The sequence below is a fragment of the Homo sapiens genome, chromosome 6 (assembly GCF_000001405.40).
Source record: "Homo sapiens chromosome 6, GRCh38.p14 Primary Assembly".
Lineage (NCBI taxonomy): Eukaryota > Metazoa > Chordata > Mammalia > Primates > Hominidae > Homo > Homo sapiens.
The window spans coordinates 10,119,383-10,138,703 of NC_000006.12; the positions used below are offsets into that span (position 1 = coordinate 10,119,383).

The 19,321-nt window shown below is 37.8% G+C and overlaps 1 long non-coding RNA gene and 1 pseudogene across 2 annotated transcripts in view, besides 1 other annotated feature; both read right to left on the bottom strand.

The window, feature by feature from the left end:
• Positions 1–19,321, bottom strand: part of OFCC1 (orofacial cleft 1 candidate 1 (pseudogene)) — a 506,631-nt pseudogene that overhangs the window by 414,405 nt on the left and 72,905 nt on the right. The window lies entirely within an intron of this gene.
• Positions 1–19,321, bottom strand: part of LOC124900218 (uncharacterized) — a 45,268-nt gene that overhangs the window by 23,966 nt on the left and 1,981 nt on the right. The window lies entirely within an intron of this gene.
• Positions 14,432–14,933: an enhancer, noted in NCBI's record as "H3K4me1 hESC enhancer chr6:10134047-10134548 (GRCh37/hg19 assembly coordinates)". NCBI's record gives its function as "activates a minimal SCP1, AML or CMV promoter by ChIP-STARR-seq in naive H9 embryonic stem cells {active_cell/tissue: H9 hESC(naive)}" and the evidence as "EXISTENCE:reporter gene assay evidence [ECO:0000049][PMID:30033119]".

Here is a 19,321-nt window from a genome sequence, read left to right on the forward strand (position 1 = left end):
TAATGGGCACATGGATGACAGGAATGAGGAAAAGCAAACAAAATGAGATGGGACTAAACAGGCTTAAAATGTTAAAGAGAAAATGATTGGCAAGTAAGACAGATGCAGAAAACATAATAGCTGTATAATGTTTGTCCCTGTAGAAGTAAAATAATAAAACAGAAAAAATAAAGATATAATTCAAGAAAAGTTGCCAAAATTATAAAAGATTTGAATTTATAGAAAAAAGGACACACTACATCAAAGGAAAAATTATTATAGAAAAATCAAAATATTGGGCCAGGCACAGTGGCTCATGCCTGTAATCCCAGCACTTTGGGAGGCCAAGGCAGGTGGATCACAAGGTCAGGAAATCGAGACCATCCTGGCCAACACGGTGAAACCCCATCTCTACTAAAAATACAAAAAAAATTATCCAGGCGTGGTGGCGGGTGACTGCAGTCCCAGCTACTTGGGAGGCTGAGGCAGGAGAATGGTATAAACCCAGGAGGCAGAGCTTACAGTGAGCCGAGATTGTGCCACTGCACTCCAGCCTGGACAACAGAGCAAGACTGTCTCGAAAAAAAAAAAAAAGAAAAAGAAAAATCAAAATATTCTCTTTGAGACATCCCAGAAAGTTACTAAACTTCAGAGGCAAAAAAAGAATAATCTGGGGATCCAGACAAAAGATCAAGTATTTAGAGGAAGAAAAAAATGCTAGTCTCAAAGTTCAGAAAAATCAACGCCAGAAGACAGAGGAGCAGTGCCTGCGAGACCCTCTAGGAAAGAACACGTGACTGAGGTTTAAACCCAGACAGACTGTTATTTACCAATCACTTTTTCAGATACAACAAGATTTTAAATCTCAGTAGCTTTATTAAGAAACTATCAGAAAAGTAACTTCAGACAACCAAGAAAGAAATGGAGTCACTATGGCTAAAGGACTGGCACGGAGGGTTTTAAACGATGGAGCTGTGTGACCAAAACTTGAACGAATATGAGACTTGTAAATTAAAGAATAGACTTTTATAACTTTCAACTCTGACAATGTAGAAATTATATTTTTAAATAATTTTTTCTTTTTCTTTTTTTTTTTTTTAAGAAACGTGGTCTCACTTTGTTGCCCAGGTTGGTCTCAAACCTCTGAGGTCAACCAATCCCCCACCGTGGCCTCCAAAAATGCCAAGTGAGCCGCTTCACCTCCCAAAATGCTGGTGAGCCACTGTGCCCAGCCAGTATGATTTTTTTTAAGTTGAGATGGGAGGAAAAAAAGTAAAAAGGAATATAGTTTTGCTTATTTCTTCTTAAAAAATTGTTTTAATAGCCTGGGGTCAAATGAGGCAATTTAAACCTGACATATCAAATAACAAAGCAATAACTGCACTTAGAGATATAAATATAATTTTTTAAATAATATAAACAATTAAAATTGGATGATAGGAGGAAGTATGTAAGACAAACAAATTAATTTTCAATTGCTTGTATTAGAGAGTTGATAGATACTCTCTTGAAGAACAGAAGATTAAGTGTATTATATAATGTTATAGTTATTAAATAATCACTAGGATAAAAATTAAAACTTTTAAAATTATTATAAGAAGCAAAGAAAGCAGAGCATGAGATGAAATAATTAAAAAGAAACAATAACAGATAGCTTGGCATACTATATAAGAGAATTTAGAAATAAAACTCACTAGAAAACAAACCATCATCTGAAATATTAAAACTCTCTAGTAAACAACTCAGAAAAGAATAAGATCAAACCCGAAATTATGGAATATTTAGAAAATGATGGAAATGAAGCATTACATATCACCTAAGAGATATTGTCCAATCATGCTTAATGCAGAAACATTAGATGCAGTCTTACTAAAGACAGGAACAAGACACACATGTCCTCATCATCACTGTTAGTCCACATTGTTCTGAAAGTACTAGCCACTGCGTTTATTATTTAAAGACAATATTTACCTCTAAACACATAGGAGAAACAATTGAAAAACCACAATGACAAAAAAATTTAGGAAGGTGCCTCCAGTACAAAATCATTCTCCTTCCTATATAAAAACAAACAACCAATAAGAATATGAACTGAAGGGGGAAGAAACATTTATTATAGCAATAAAAGAATAAAATACATAGGAACAATAGACTTTTTTCACCAATAAAAAATTAGCATAAGAAGAAAACTTTTAAATGCTATTGAGGGACATGGAAGAACATTTAAATAAAGAAGCTTGTTTTAGGATAGCAGCAGCCAACACCAAAAATATATTTGTTCTTCCTGACATAATAAATTAAACACAATCTTCATAAAAATTCCAGAAAATTGTATTTGTGGAAAAAATTTGAAGAAAATATGTTTTAAATTTAAATAAAAAGAAAAATGGGAATTTTTGAGGCAAATTCTGTGAATGAAGAATAATAAAGGGGTGATCAAGTCTAACTTAAATTTCAATAGGCTATAATAATTCAAGTGGATAAATATTGCAAACAGGATAAAAAGCTCAGAAGTGGATCCAATATACACAAAAGTTGGCATTCCAAACTTATAAGCAGACAATAAATAATTCAGAAAATAGTTTGTGAACAACCGGAAACCCTGTGGAAAGAACGGAGTTGGGAAAATAGCTATCTCCCAACTTATATCAAAATAAATTCCAAATGGACAGAGGTTTAAACCGTACAATATAAAACCATCAACCTAAGAGCAAGGTTTTATAATAATGGACTAGGGAAGGTCCCTCTAAATATGACCTAAAATTCAAAAGCAATAGAACATTCATTGAAATGTATAAAAATAAAACTTTCCTGACTGGAAATAAGCCCTGTAACAAAATCAAAAGACAAATTACAAAACTGGGGGTGAGGGAGGAGTAGGGAATGCAATTAATATCACAAACACAGGCCGATGGCTATAATAAATAAACAGTTCTGACATATCCATAAAAGAAACAGAAAAACTAAGCAAAAAGATACATATTCACAAACATACATATATTGTACATATTTACATATATGTATATGAGTGTGTATGCACAAAAACACACATATACATATGGGAGTTTCACAGAAAAAGGAACTAAAAAGGTCTTTTAGTCACATGGAAAGATGTTCAACTTCATTCATAATAAGAAATAAAAATTAGAACTTAACTAAAAGAACTTAATTTGTTTAACCTATGAGATTAGCAAAGTTAGATAGAGTTTGATAATAGTGTGTTATCCTATGTACACAGAGGTACTTTCCTAGAAAAGTAAGTGAAAAAATTGTCCAACCACCATACTAATCACCCTGATTTGATCATCAGACATTATATGTACTACAGCATCACTATGTACCCTATAAACATGTACAGTTATTATGTGTCAATCAAAACATTAAAAATGTTTTTAAAATTTTTAAAGCACGGATTACTTATGCTATTATCTTACATTAGTTTGGGCTACTTTTAAGCTTCATAGAAATGGAATCTTGCAGTTCCTACACTCTTGTCACCAGCTTCTTTTACTTATCACATTGACTGTGATTTATCCGTGTCACTTTATATAATGGGTTTTGTTCTTTTCATTCCATGATGTGAATCTACCACAATTTATCCAGTCAACGGTGAGTGGACTTTTCAGTTGTTTCCAGTTTGAAGCTGTGAGGAATAATGCTACTGTAAATAGTCTTGCACAAGTCTTTTGGTGCACTACATGGTGATGGTTAAGCCAGAGACAGCTAAAGAGTTGTGGAGATAGCTGGGTAGACTACAGATATTAAGAAGGGTGAAGGTAAATAGCCCTAAATTATACCCAAATGCTCTTCATTGCTCAAATATAATAACAATAGCAATAAGTCCAAAAAGTGTTACCCTCAATGGTATGTATCACTTTCAGCCTTGGTTTCATAAAATAGCACATAGTTTTTTAACAAGCATAAGCTAAAAAAAAATGTGCCACTTAATTAGCTTCACAAATGGCTGCCTTGCTGTTTTCTACTTATTTTAGGGTGGATTTGATCTGTATGTATTCAACCCTGAACTTCAGCAATATAAATGACCATGCTTGCCCTTATCCACCTTCTTACAATATGTGACTGAGAGGGACATACCAAGATCGAGGACTAAGGATTTCTTAGGAATGTGAATTCACAGACTGGAAGGCAGAGGGCAAAAATCATCTTAAATCTTTGTTTAAAATACTTTCATTTTAAAATGCTACTCTAAATTGTTTTGTTTTGTTTTGTTTTGTTTGAGGCGGAGTCTCTCTCTGTCACCAGGCTGGAGTGCGGTGGCGTGATCTCAGCTCACTGCAATGTCCAGCTCCTGGGTTCAAGCGATTCTCCTGCCCCAGCCTCCCCAGTAGCTGGGACTACAGGTGCACGCACCATGCCCAGCTAATTTTTGTATATTTAGTAGAGACGGGGTTTCACCATGTTGGCCAGGATGGTCTCAATCTGCTGACCTCGTGATCTGCCCGCCTTAGCTTCCCAAAGTGCTGGGATTACAGGCGTGAGCCACCACACCCGGCCTAAACTGTATTTTTTTTATAATAACATAAGCTTTAAACTAAGACTGATCTGCAGAGGTCTTAACATAAAGGTGTTTGTTTCTGAAGAAAACTTTGCTTCTGAAAAAGTTATTGTATGACATTTCCAATGCAAATAATACCTAGACGCAGAAAACAGCTGCAAAAAATGTCATATATTTAATTTCTTAAATAGCATTTAAAGGAAGAAAAGCAAAGTATTATCACATTCTGATTTGAGAAAAGTAATTGCATGGGTATCAATACTGGAGAGTAGCAGTACCCCATTAGTGCCCGTAATTTTTATTTCTTGATTCTGCTGTAGGAATGTATTTTGTAGGTAAGCTAGACACCAGAAAGACTTGTCATACTGTGGAAAGTGGGAAGTACTGAGAAAATAAATAGTCAAAGTGCTTAGAAACTGCTACTGGGACAAGAAAAATGCACAGGAGTTTCCAGCGATCAGAGAAAGCCAGAGGGTATTTGGATGGATAATGCCCCAACATGATGTAGGTAGAAGTGTTTAAATTTAAGGTAAAGAATTGAGGTAAGTAAAGGCCGGGCACGGTGGCTCACACCTGTAATCCCAGCACTTTGGGAGGCTGAGGTGGGTGGATTACAAGGTCAAGAGATCAAGACCAACCTGGCCAACATGGCAAAACCCCGTTTCTACTAAAAATACAAAACTTAGCCAGGTGTGGTGGCGTGCACCTGTAGTCCCAGCTACTTGGAAGGCTGAGGCAGGAGACTTGCTTGAACCTGAGAGGTGGAGGTTGCAGTGAGCTGAGATTGTGCCACTGCACTCCAGCCTGGCCTGGCGACAGAGTGAGATGCCATGTCAAAAAAAAAAAAAAGAATTTAGGTAAGTAAGAAAGCAAGTTTCTCATTAAGTTCAAATATCAAACCAGGATTGGCTTAAGTTAAGGTTTCCTGAGAAAGACACCAAGTCGTGTTTATTTTTTTGAAATTTCCCTGTACATGTGTCACTTCAAATCACATTTGGTGATATTGGTCATTTAGCTCTTGGAGAGAAACTCATTGTATAGTGGAAAGAGAAAGAAAGAACTGACAAACTTCACTAAAAAACAACTTTATAGCTGAAGGAAGGTGATTAAACGTTCCTGAGCCTCAATTTTCCAATCTATAAAATGAGAATAAATGGGCTAGGCATGGTGGCTCACGCCTGCCATCCCAGCACTTTGGGTGGCTGAGGTGAGAGGATCGCTTGAGGCCAGGAGTTCGAGACCAGCCTGGGCAACATAGTGGGACCCTGTATCTACTCAAATAAATAAATAAATAAATAAATAAATGGAGTTGCTTTGAAGATTCTAAAACTGAGTATATAAAAGTCACAGTAAGTATTTCCTTTTTTTAATTTAATTTTATTTTATTTTATTTTTTGAGATGGAGTCTTGCTCTGTCACCCAGGCTGGAGTGCAGTGGCGTAATCTCGGCTCACTGCAACTTCCACTTCCCGGGTTCAAGCGATTCTCCTGCATCAGCCTCCTGAGTAGCTGGGACTACAGGCCTGTGCCACCACTCCACGCTAATTTTTTGTATTTTTAGTAGAGATGGGGTTTCACCATGTTAGCCAGGATGGTCTTGATCTCCTGACCTCATGATCTGCCCACCTCGGCCTCCCAAAGTGCTGGGATTACAGGCGCGAGCCACCGCACCTGGCCTCCTTCTTTTATTTAATAAAGTTATCTTATTGACCTCTTAAAATATAGAACAAGAAGGAAGGCACTTTCAGGGCTCTGTTTTCTGTCTTTCTCTCCTTTCCTGCTCCGTCTCTCTTCCCTGGTAGGTAAGTTGAAGTGTCCAGGTGCCTACTGCTATCATATGACAGCTGCCTTAATTATAACTTTGGTTTTTGAGTGCGAAACAAATACCGTGAAAGCTGGCTCAGAAACAAAATTTTAAAAATGACAGTGGGAGCAAAAACTATTCTAGCACTTCCTGGTGAATACACACTGTTTAGAAAGGGGTTACACTTGAAGGAACAATGGTGTGTGTCTATACCAGGTACTCAGCATCGAAGGGTAAGATCAAATTACGTAAAAACATACAAAATAACTCTCCTTAAATGAGAAAAGTCTGTATGTGTGTGTTTCACCTATGAAGTCAATGAGTTTAAAAATTAAGACCTACTTCTTAGATAATAAATTTTAGCCTTTAAAAATGGCCTCCTCCCACCTAAATGAACTGTAGTATATAATCACATTTTCTGATCTTAAACGTATGGAAACGATACAGTTTTTAAGAAATCCTTATTTAAATGGATTGTTCTTTTCCCTAAGCATGATGTCAGTCAAATGAAAGAAGAAAATCTCCATCTTCCTAATTGTTACCACCCAAACTTAGTAAGGTGGTCCTGAATTTGAGTCACAATGCTTTAGACTTTTCTTGACATCTAATTTGTATTGTACCAAATAAATTAAATCTAAGTGCATTAAGATATCACCCAACTATTTAAATAGGTTCATTTACAAAGGGCTTCTTTTTGATTCCAAACCAAATTTATCAAATTCTCCCTGGTATCTGTACCTTATCATAGTTTCTCTATTTCTCCTCTTGGGGCCACCAGCCTCTCAGTTACCTAGGATTCCCTTGATTCTTCCCTTTTTCTTGCATTATAGGAGCAATGAGCTACCAAGTCAAACAGCTGTACCAATGAAAGAGGTCTACGTCCAACTGCACCGCTTTCTTCTCACTACCACAGGAATACATTAGACTTGCATCACCTTCTGGCTTGTACCATTTAAAATAGTTTTTTTTCACCAGGAGTTCTGCCTCAAGTCTTTTGCCGACTCCAAGTCATCCCATCATCTCTAGATTATAACCCCTAAAGTGTAATACTGAATTAATGGCTCCCTTACACTCATTCACTCAAAACACCTTCGTGACACCAACTGGACTCCTCAAGACACTTTAATGGCACCTAAACAAGTATTTAAGGTCCACAATCAGCCAACTTAATTCTACATTTTCCGACTTTTCTCCATACCGTGCTGCCCTTTTCTTAACCCAGTGTTGAGTCAAACTAACTGCCCCACATGGGGAACCTATGTGGTACCTTCCCTCCTTCTTCTACCCTTACTGCTTCTTTCATTTCCACCTTCCTTTCCACCTTTCCTCACCAGTTGAAATCCTCATGATGCTTCAAAATTAATATTGTGAAGGATTGCCTGTTCGCTGGAGTTAGAAATAACTTTGCCTTCCTTTGAGCTTTCATAGCACACTGAATTTCTCTTTTCAGATTCACTCATTCATTACAGTTATTTATGTACATATCTATATTTTCCTATTATACATAGGTATGCTCCTCAGAGTCAACATATGCCCACCAGGAGATAATTCTCCATTAGTTTTATGCTTCTGCATATCTTCCAAGCAGAGGTTCTGGCTGCATTGGTTTCAGACTATCTTTTCAAGGATGTTTACAGAGCAAACAATCTTGGAAAACAGAGGTAATGTCTCCCTTCAGAGCAAAGGCAGGTCTGCTTATGGTTCACAGCAACAAAGATTATACCTTCCTTCAGGGCATAGGTCAGGCATGCTTACTGATTCTAATAAAACATCTAGTCTGTCTAAGCTCAGAGTTCCTTCCCCAAAGCACACCCTACTCCATGTGCAGATACCATCTAGCCCTCTTCACATCACACTTTGAGAAATGGCACTCAGGAAATCAGCACAAATGCAGATACTCTGGGTTTTGCTTCTGTAAATAATAAAGTCTTTTGTCTCTGATCCAGGAGTCTCATGTCTTCTGCCAGCACTCCTGAAACTGTGATAGAGAGACTCTAAAGAGGCCCCATGATTCCCACCTCCTGATATTCACGCCCTGGGTGACTAGCCTCCTGTTGAGTCTGAAAAGGAACTGTGACTTGTTTCTATCAGACAGCATATAGCAAAGGTTGTAGGATGTATGTGACTACATCTACATGATTGCATTATAGATCACTGTAACATCTGCCTTGCGAGGAGATTCTTTTTCCCCTTACTGGCCCTAAGGAAGCAAGTGGCTATGTTGGGAAGGCCAATGTGGCAAAGACCTTAAAGCAGTTTTTAGCCAAGAGCCATCAACAAACTGAAGCCCCAGTACACAGCCTGCAAAAAAAACTAAATTCTTCCAGCAAGTACGTGCACTTGGAAGCAGATCCTTGTCTAGTCAAGCCATAGATAAGAACCCAGTCCTGGCTAACATCTTGATTGCAGCCTTATTGAGGACCCAGCTAAGCCATGCTCGAATTCCTGACTTACAGAAACTATGAAATAATCGATGGGTATTATTTAAGCTGCTAAATGTTTCATAACATAGTTACTAAACAATACATAATTAATACAGAGGCAAACTTGGTAATTTTTTTGCAAGTAGGGTGAAATCTCAGATCCTTGATAGTTCTTAGCAGTTTTGGCAGCAAGGATGGTATGCTGACAGACACGTGGCTTTCAGGAAGGAGAAAGATAAGGGTCTTGTGGACTAATTAATGGACTTTGAGGGAAATCCATGGGAATTATCGGTAAACATGTTGACCACATTATATGGTTAAATGGGCAATAAGTGGTTCTCCATTTTATTGCCTGTTAATGAGGAGGAATTTTCCTTAATTCCCCAACTTAATGGGTTCAGGCCAAGTCCCAAGAAGCAGACTCAGACTGCTAGCTGGGCAGTACCCTGGTTGTTTCTAACTCTCCTCCAAGAAGGGGAACTTTCTCACCAATCCAGCAGCCAGCCTCAGGTCTATCCCATGGTAACAATTAATGGTAGATTTATCCTAGAGGAGGCAGAAGGTGCTGTCTTCTTTCAGACAACAGTTACAGAGACATCCATTTATAGTGTGTATACAAGGTGGGAAATTTTCAACAATCATGGGCAGACACTAACAGCATTGTGGTCCTACCTGCAAAACACCAGCTATCTCTTTAGGGAAAATTATACTCTTCAGTCCATTGCCTGAAACAAAACTGTTGTTCAATGGAACTCCTGAACCTGGGCCTGGACCTCGTTCACACATAGTTGAGCTGAATTGAAACCAACAGTGTCTGTTGAGTCGCTGCAGCTGTCTAGCCTTAGTGACAGCTATGCGCAACCAAAAATGCAGATGTCTGCTCAAATCAGTGAGTAGAACTCAAGTCCATTCTCACTGTTCTGCCCACTATTCCCCTCAATAAACTATGTTAAATTTTGACCGGCTTTTGGACTAGGACCAATGGTCTAATTGTTTGGTCTGCCACTTGAAAACTGTAGGCTGGCAGATTAAAGATACCCTTATTTTGCTTCATGAAATGAAAAAAAAAAAATTACTGCTGCTAATGAAATCTTCTGGGTTACTCACACAGGAGTCCAGGGTAAAGGCCTATTCTGTGATGGAACTAGCTGGAGTCAAATTGCTGATTGAGTCTGTACCACCTGGACTGCCACTGGTGCCGTCTGGCTCTGTCCTTATACCGAATACGGCAACACATGCCCCAGCATAGACTAAGTAAGAAGTAAAGGACTATATGTTTTTTGATGCTGAGTTATCATGACAAGCCAGACTTCTGACTCTTGCCAAGTCAACCCATTTATTTTACAGTGAGTGAGGCAACATAACACAGGGTATGGCTCCCATCCACTCCTGGAAAATAGAGCACATCAGACTTTTAATCCCTTCTCAGAGCTATCAGTGGTACCTCACTGCTACTGACATTTTGGGGGGATTATGGTGTTACTTTTCCAGTCTGATCAGCAGAATCTAGCCATAATATTGTGGCTCTTAAAACTAAAAGGAGTCACAGTGTTTTTGGTTCTCTGGAGCATTTGCATTCTAATATGCCTTTATTACCAAAGCCACTCAACAAGCTAATAGTCAAGATAGTCTTGAAAATAATAGAGCAATCATCCAGCAATTAGTTGAACTTAACAGGTGAGTATCGTCAAAGGAAGAGGCTCTCAAAAATAGGCCAAAACCACTGTCAGTGCAGGGTAACTGTGGGCATACCCAAGGCTGTGTTCACTGAGGATAAATGTCAGAGGGGTTATATTGCAGGAAGAAATAGACTCCATAAAAAATAGTCCAGCCAATCACTTAAAAAATAAACAAGAAAACAAAAATAACAAGCCCAGGGGAGAGAGGGAAGGATAGAGCACCAGCATCCACAGCTGCTATATTATCAAAAGTGCTTGGTGTCTAACAAAAAAATTACAAGATATACAAAGAAACAGGAAGGTAGTAGGCCAGGAAAAAGCAGACAACAGAAGTTGCTTGTGAAAGAAACTAGATATTGGATCTAACAGAAAAAGCATTCAAGGTAGCCATTATAAGTATACTCAAATACCTAAAGGAAATCATAATTAAAGACATGAAAGAATGATTACAATGGACATTTATGGACGATGTCATATGAAATAGAGAATACCAGTAAAGAGGTAGAAACTATGTATATATTTTAAAAGCCAAATGGAAATTCTGAAGTTGAAAATACAGTAACTAAGATTTAAAATCACCAAAGGGGTTTAAGAGTAGATCTGAGAAGCAAAAGAAAGAATTAACAAACATGAAGATCTATCAGTAGATGGTATGAAATCCAAATAATTTAAAAAAAAAAAAAAAAAAAGAGGCTGGGCTCAGTGGCTCACACCTGTAATCCCAGCATTTTGGGAGGCCAAGGTGGGCAGATTGCCTGAGATCAGGTGTTCAAGACCAGTCTGGCCAACATGGTGAAACCCCATCTCTACTAAAAATCTTTACAAAAAATTTAGCCAGACGTGGTGGTGTGCACCTGTAATCACAGCTACTCGGGAAGCTGAGGTAGGGGAATTGCTTGAACCAGGGATGTGGAGGTTGCAGTGAGCTGAGATCACACCACTGCACTCCAGCCTGGGCGACAGCTGAAATCACGCCACTGCACTCCAGCCTGGGCGACAGAGTGAGACTCCATCTCAAAAAAAAAAAAAAATTAGAAAAATAAAGATAGACTTAGAGAGCTGTAAGACACTACTAAGCACATCTACATGTCCATACTGGGAGTACCAGAAGGAGAGAGAGAAAAAGAAATTAGTAGAAAAAATAGGGGAATAAATAATGACTGACAACTTACAAAATGTATTGAAAAGCAATAATCTACACATCTAGGAAACTCAACAACCTCCAAGTTGAATAAACACAAAGAGATTCAGAAGCAGTCTCATCATAGCAAAAATACTGAAAATCAAAGACAAGGAGAAACTCTTAAAAGCATTTAAAGAAAAACAATTTGTCACTTACATATAAGCCCCAATAAGATTAACAACTGACTCATCAGCGGAAGCAATGGAAACCATAGGATAATATATTCAAAGTGTTCAAGGAAAAAACTATGCAGCAAGTTACTCTTCAAAACTGAAAGAAAACTGAAAACATTCCCAGATAAATAAAAACTAAAAAAACAGTTGTTGCTAACAGATCTGCTATATAAGAAATACTAAAAGAAGTTCATCAGGCTGATATGACCACAGATAGTAATTAGAATCCATACAAAAAAAAAAAGAGCACTGGTAAAGACAATCGTGTAATCAAAATACCCATATAAATGCATATTTATTCTACTTTCTTCTCTTATTTTAAAAACAAGTATACAGAACACTATGTATATAATGTGTTATTGAGCCTATAACATATAGAAATGCAATATAGTTGCCAAAAACAGCACAAAGGAAATAGATAGGAACAAAGCTGTATTGGGCTAAGAAAATGGCTCCAGACGATAACTCAAATTCAGAATAACAAATGAAGAGGACCAGAAACAATAAATACAAAGCTAATATAATAAAAGCTGTAAATATAAACTTGCCTTCTTTTCTTCTCTTAGCTCCTTTGAAAGACAAAATTATACAAAGTAATAATTATAGCAATCCTTTTGAATTTGTAACTTGTATGGATTTAATAATTATAACAATACCACAAAAAGAGGGAAAAGAAAAATAGATGTAATATATATAACAAAATACCATAAGAAGAATAAAAAGGAATACTTCTATGTCTCACTTGAATTAATTTAGTATAAATCTGAAGCTGATTGTGATAAGATCTATATTGTAAGCAAGAATAACCATTAAAAATTTTCAAAAATAATTAGTAAAAAAAATTCTTAAAGAAATTAAAATGCTACATTAGAAAATATTAGCTTAATGCAAAAGAAAGCAGTAAAGGAAAAATAGTGGAACAAAAAGACATAAAATATAAAAATTAAAATTAAAATGGCAGATGTAAACCCAACTGTAATTGAAAATAACAGTAAATGTGAATGAATTAAACAGTCCAATCAAAAGACAGAGATTGTCAGACTGGGTTAAAAAAAAATATGATTCAACTATATGCTGTCTAAGGGAGACATACTTTTAATTGAAATACATAGATGGAAAATAAAAAGACTTTTTTAAAAAGGACATACCATGCAAACAGCTACTACAAAAAAGCTGGAGTAAATGGCTATAATAATTTCAGACAAAACGTACTTAAAACGTACAATGTTGCTAGATATAAAAATGGACAATTTATCATGATAAAGTGGTCAATCCATCTGGGAGATATAACCATCATAAACATATATGCATGTAATAACAGAGCACCAAAATATTTAAAACCAAAGCTGACTGAAATGAAGAGAGGAATAGACAATGCAACAATAAGAATTGGAAACTATAACATCCCACATTCAACAATTGATAGAACAACTAAGTAGGTCAACAAGGAAACAGAAGACCTGAACAACACTGTAAGCCTAGTGAACTATAAACATTATAAACTAGACCTAGAAGACATTTATAAGATATTTCACCCAACAAAAGCAGAATATACGTTGTTCTTAAGCCCACATATAACATTTTCTAGAAAAGTCTGTTAGGCAATAAATCAAATCTCAATAAATTTTTAAAAACAGAAATAATACAAAGCATGTTCTCTGACCACAATGGAATTATATAAGACATTAATAACAGAAAAAAACAGGAAACTCACAAATATGGGAAAATTAAACAATACACTCCTAAATGACCAATGGATCAAAAAAGAAATTAAAAGGAAAATAAGAAAAATTTTGAGTGAATGAAAATGAAGATAGAACATACCAAAATATATGAGATACAGCAAAACAGTGCTTGGAGGAAAACTGACAACTGCAAATGAAAGGAAGAAAGATTTCAAGTCAATAACCCAAACTTACATCTTAAGATAGACATTTGAAAATGAAGAAAAAAAGAACTAAAGTTAAAGCAAGCAGAAGCAAAAATAAAACAAAAAATGAAGATTAGAGCAGAAACTAATAAAATATAGAATAGAAAAATAATAGAGAAAATCAATGAAATCAAAAGTTGGTAGCTTTTAAAAAAACAAAATTGATAAATATTCATCTAAATTGATCAAGAAAAAAGAGAGAAATCGCAGATTACTAGGATCAGAAATGAAAAAGACATCACTACTGACCTTATTATAAAATAATACTATGAACAATGATACACTAAATTAGATAACTTTGATTAAATGGACAAATTCCTATAAAGGCACAAACCACCAAAATTGACACAAGAGGAAATACACAATCTGAATAGATCTATAACAAGTATAGAGATTGAATTACAGTTATGCATCACTTAACTATGGGGATATGTTCTGACAAATGTGTTTAGGCAGTTTTGTTGTTGTTGTGCAAACATAATAGAGTGTACTTATACAAACCTAGATGGTATAGCTAACTATACACCTGTATGGCCTCAGTGTGATTGCTCCTAGGTTTAGATTGTTCCTAGGCTGCAAACCTGTCCAGCATGTTACTGTACTGAATATTGTAGGCAACTGTAACATAATGGTAAGTATTTGTACATGTAAACACATCTAAACATATTCGAAGTACTATAAAATATGGCATTATAATTTTATGAGACCACTATCATGTGGCCCGTCATTAACAAAAATATTATTATGCTGTGCATGACTGTAGTAATTTTTAAAACTATCCATGAAGAAAAGCCCAGGTCCAGATGGATTCATCACTGAATTGTACCAAACATTTAACAAAGAATTAATGCCAGTTCTTCACAAACTCTTCCAAAATATAAAAGAAAGCCTTCCAGAGCCAAGATGGCCAAATAGGAACAGCTCCTGTCTATAGCTCCCAGCGTGAGCGACACAGAAGATGGGTGATTTCTGCATTTCCAACTGAGGTACCGGGTTCATCTCACTGAGGAGTGCCAGACAGTAGGCGCAGGACGGTGGGTGCAGCGCACTGTGCAAGAGCCGAAGCAGGGCGAGGCATCGCCTCACCCGGGAAGTGCAAGGGGTCAGGGAATTCCCTTTCCTAGTCAAAGAAAGGGGTGACAGACGGCACTGGAAAATCGAGTCACTCCCACCCTAATACTGCGCTTTTCCAACGGGCTTAAAAAACAGCACACCAGGAGATTATATCCCTCACCTGTCTCGGAGGGTCCTACGCCCACGGAGTCTCGCTCATTGCTAGCACAGCAGTCCGAGATCAAACAGCAAGGCGGCAGCGAGGGGGGAGGGGCGCCCACCATTGCCCAGGCTTGCTTAGGTAAACAAAGCAGCCGGGAAGCTCGAACTGGGTGGAGCCCACCACAGCTCATGGAGGCCTGCCTGCCTCTGTAGGCTCCACCTCTGGGGACAGGGCACAGACAAACAAAAAGACAGCAGTAACCTCTGCAGACTTAAATGTCCCTCTCTGACAGCTTTGAAGAGAGCAGGAAACAACAGGTGCTGGAGAGGATGTGGAGAAATAGGAACACTTTTACACTGTTGGTGGGAGTGTAAACTAGTTCATCCATTGTGGAAGACAATGCAACGATTCCTCAGGGATCTAGAACTAGAAATACCATTTGACCCAGCCATCCCATTACTGGGTATATACCCAAAGGACTATAAATCATGCTGCTATAAAGACACATGCACATGTATGTTTATTGCAGCACTATTCACAATAGCAAAGACTTGGAACCAACCTAAATGTCCAATAATGATAGACTGGATTAAGAAAATGTGGCACATATACACCATGGAATATATGCAGCCATAAAAAATGATGAGTTCATGTCCTTTGTAGGGACATGGATGAAACTGGAAACCATCATTCTCAGCAAACTATCGCAAGGACAAAAAACCAAACACTGCATGTTCTCACTCGTAGGTGGGAATTTAACAATGAGAACACATGGACACAGGAAGGGGAACATCACACACCAGGTACTATTGTGGGGTGGGGGGCGGCGGGAGGGATAGCATTAGGAGATATACCTAATGCTAAATGACGAGTTAATAGGTGCAGCACACCAACATGGCACATGTATACATATGTAACAAACCTGCACATTGTGCACATGTACCCTAAAACTTAAAGTATAATAATAATAAAATTTTTAAAAAAAGAAAGCACTTCCAAACTCACTCTGAGACCAGCATTACCAATTCCAAAACTGAAAAAGCTATCAGAAAACGAGAAAACTAAAGGCCAATATCTCCTTTGAATATGGACACAAAATCTCCAGCAAAACACTGGCAAACCGAATACAGCAACATATAAAAAGAATCATACACCATAATCAATTAAGTGGAATTTGTCCTAAGGATGCAAGGTTGTTTAACATCTGAAAATCAATTAATATAACATACCCTATCAATGGAAAAAAATTATATGATCGTCTCAGTAAATACACAAAAAGCATTAGACAAAATCTAATGGCCTTTTATGATTAAAAACACTTCACAAACTGTAAAGAGAAGAAAACTTCTTGAACTTGGTAAAAGGCATCTATGAAAAACTTGGAGTTAACATTATACTTAATGGTGAAAGACTGGATGCTTTCCCCTAAAGATAAGGAAAAAGACAAGGATGTCAAGTCTCACCTCTTCTATTCAACATTATACTAGCAGTCAAGCCAGGGCAATTATGCAGGAAAAATAAATAAAAAGCATTCAGATTGGAAATGAAGAAGTGAAATTATCTCTATTCACAGATGACATACTTATATATAGAAAATTCTACAGAATCATATTGAAATTATTAAAACTAATAAATCAATTTGGCAAGGTTGCAGGATACAACATCAACATACAAAAATAAATTGTATTTCAATATGATTGCAATGAACAATCCATAAATGAAACTGAGAAAACAACTCTTGTTAGACATGGTGGCTCACGCCTGTAATCCCAGCACTTTGGAAGGCGGAGGCAGGCCGATCACCTGAAGTCAGGAGTTTGAGACCAGCCTGGCCAACATAGTGAAACCCCGTCTCTACTAAAAACACAAAAACTAGCCGGGGATGGTGGCAGACACCTGTACTCCCAGCTACTGGGGAGGCTGAGGCAGGAGAATTGCTTGAACCCAGGAGGCAGAGGTTGCAGTAAGCTGAGATTACACCACTGCACTCCAGCCTGGGTGACAGAGTGAGACACCATCTCGGGAAAAAAAAAAGAAAGAAAACATTTCTTGTTTTAAGAACATCGAAAATATATATATTTAAGAATAAATTTAACAAAATATATGCAAAACTTATGCTTTGAAAGGCCAGGGTTGGCTGTGCGCAGTGGCTCACGCCTGTAATCCCACTTTTTGGGAGGCCAAGGCAGGCAGATGACGAGGTCAGGAGATCGAGACCATCCTGGATAACACGGTGAAACAACATCTCTACTAAAAATACAAAAAATTAGCCAGGCTTGGTGGCGGGCGCCTGTAGTCCCAGCTACTCGGGAGGCTGAGGAAGGAGAATGGCATGAACCCAGGAGGTAGAGCTTGCGGTGAGATGAGATCGCGCCCCTGCACTCCAGCCTGGGCGACAGAGCGAGACTCAGTCTCAAAAAAAAAAAAAAAAGAAAGGCCAGGGTTGTTATGGATAGTACAACTGCCCCAAGCTTCCTTTTTGCAGGCCAGGACAAGTCTGTGCAATCACTAATACATCCTGCTGCATCTGGATGAATGCCTTGGACTGAGGAGAAAAGCCACTGTGGAAACTAAAGGAGAATACTACCTGGCTATAAGATAGATCTGGATGATTCATTGAACTTGTTCAGCTTATGGAATCCGGAACCCTTTAAGTCACGGTGAGGTTAATACTGCAGGATGGCCTCATCCTGCTGCTTGAAGTCCTGTTGATAATAATTTTAATTAAATACTATATGAGGTAAATTGAATGGATTTGGCCCCAGCCTCTATTGGTCAGATTGACCAGAGCAGCAGATGGAGTGGCATACTCATGCCTAAATTTGCCAGAAGCAGGGGTGTAGAAACAAGGGAGATTGTTTCTACAAGTGGAGATTTTAAAAACATCTTCCACAGGTCTCTCATGTTCCTGCACCTGACTGTCTTTGTTCCGGGATGTATAGCAAACAGTTTTGGAAGATAGTGTCTCCTTTTGGAGTCTGGGGCTTATGGTCCAGTATAATAAGGATAATTTCTCCCTCCAAGATAAAGAGCAGGCATATTCACTGCTTGTTATAGAAGATCCAGGTTTCCTAAATTCAGGGTTCTTCTACAATGCAACTCTCTTCACGTGCAGGGTCACCTGGCCCTCTTCATGTTGCACTGTGAGAGTTATGGTTCAGGGAACCAAGGCAAATTCTGGCTACTGTCATTGCTGTGACTAATAAAATCCTTTGTTTCTGACCCAAGAATCTCATGTCTTCTACCAACATCTATGAAACTGTGGTAGGCTCGCCTGTTTACAGTTAACACTTTGCTTACAGGCCCTTTACAGTTCTTGACTGTGCCTATGACTTACTCATCTTTGTATACTTCATTCCATCTGTACTAAATGAGTATATAAATGAATTTTTATTTGAGCCATGTAAAAACACCCCAAAACATACAGCCGGTCCACAGATCAACTTCATGCCTCTTATGAGATATACAGTATCAGGGTATAAAATACATGACCGAGTATAATTCATAGATGAACAAAAGACCGTTTCCAAGCTATTTATACAAATAAGTCCACAACATAGCAGTTCTATTCATTTCAGCTATCATGAAAATTTCCCCAATCCCCACAGCCAAATTGATTGTGGCTTGATCTGTATAAATCTCTTATACTGCTAAAAATTAATCCATTAATGTCCAGCACAGTTCATCTTCTGCACATCAAAAATTCTCATTCTCATTTTTCCTCTCCCTCTCTCTCTCTGACACACACACACACACACACACACACACACACACACACACACCCCTTAGCAATGAAAAGTTTTTCTTTATATTCTTAAGATTCTCAGCACACTAAGAAAAAACAGCAATAAAGATGTCTGGGTCCTGAGTTAAAAATTCAGCAGAATACCTCCAACAACAACTAAATTGAATATATATACACAAAACAAGTCACATTAAGAGTAAAAACAAGATCTCTTTATCCCATATAAATATCTGCCTCCACACTATTCACAATAGTGAAGACTTGGAACCAACCCGAACGTCCATCAATGATAGACTGGATTAAGAAAATGTGGCACATATACACCATGGAATTCTATGCAGCCATAAAAAAGGATGAGTTCATGTCCTTTGTAGGGACATGGATGAAGCTGGAAACCATTATTCTGAGCAAACTATCACAAGGACACTACATGTTCTCACTCATAGGTGGGAACTGAACAATGAGAACACTTGGACACAGGGTGGGGAACATCACACACTGGGGCATGTCATGGGGTGGGGTGCTGGGGGGGGTGCGGATAGCATTAGGATATATACCTAATGTAAATGACGAGTTAACGGGTGCAGCACACCAACATGGCACATGTATGCATATGTAACAAACCTGCACGTTGTGCACATGTACCCTAGAAATTAAAGTATAATAAAAAATA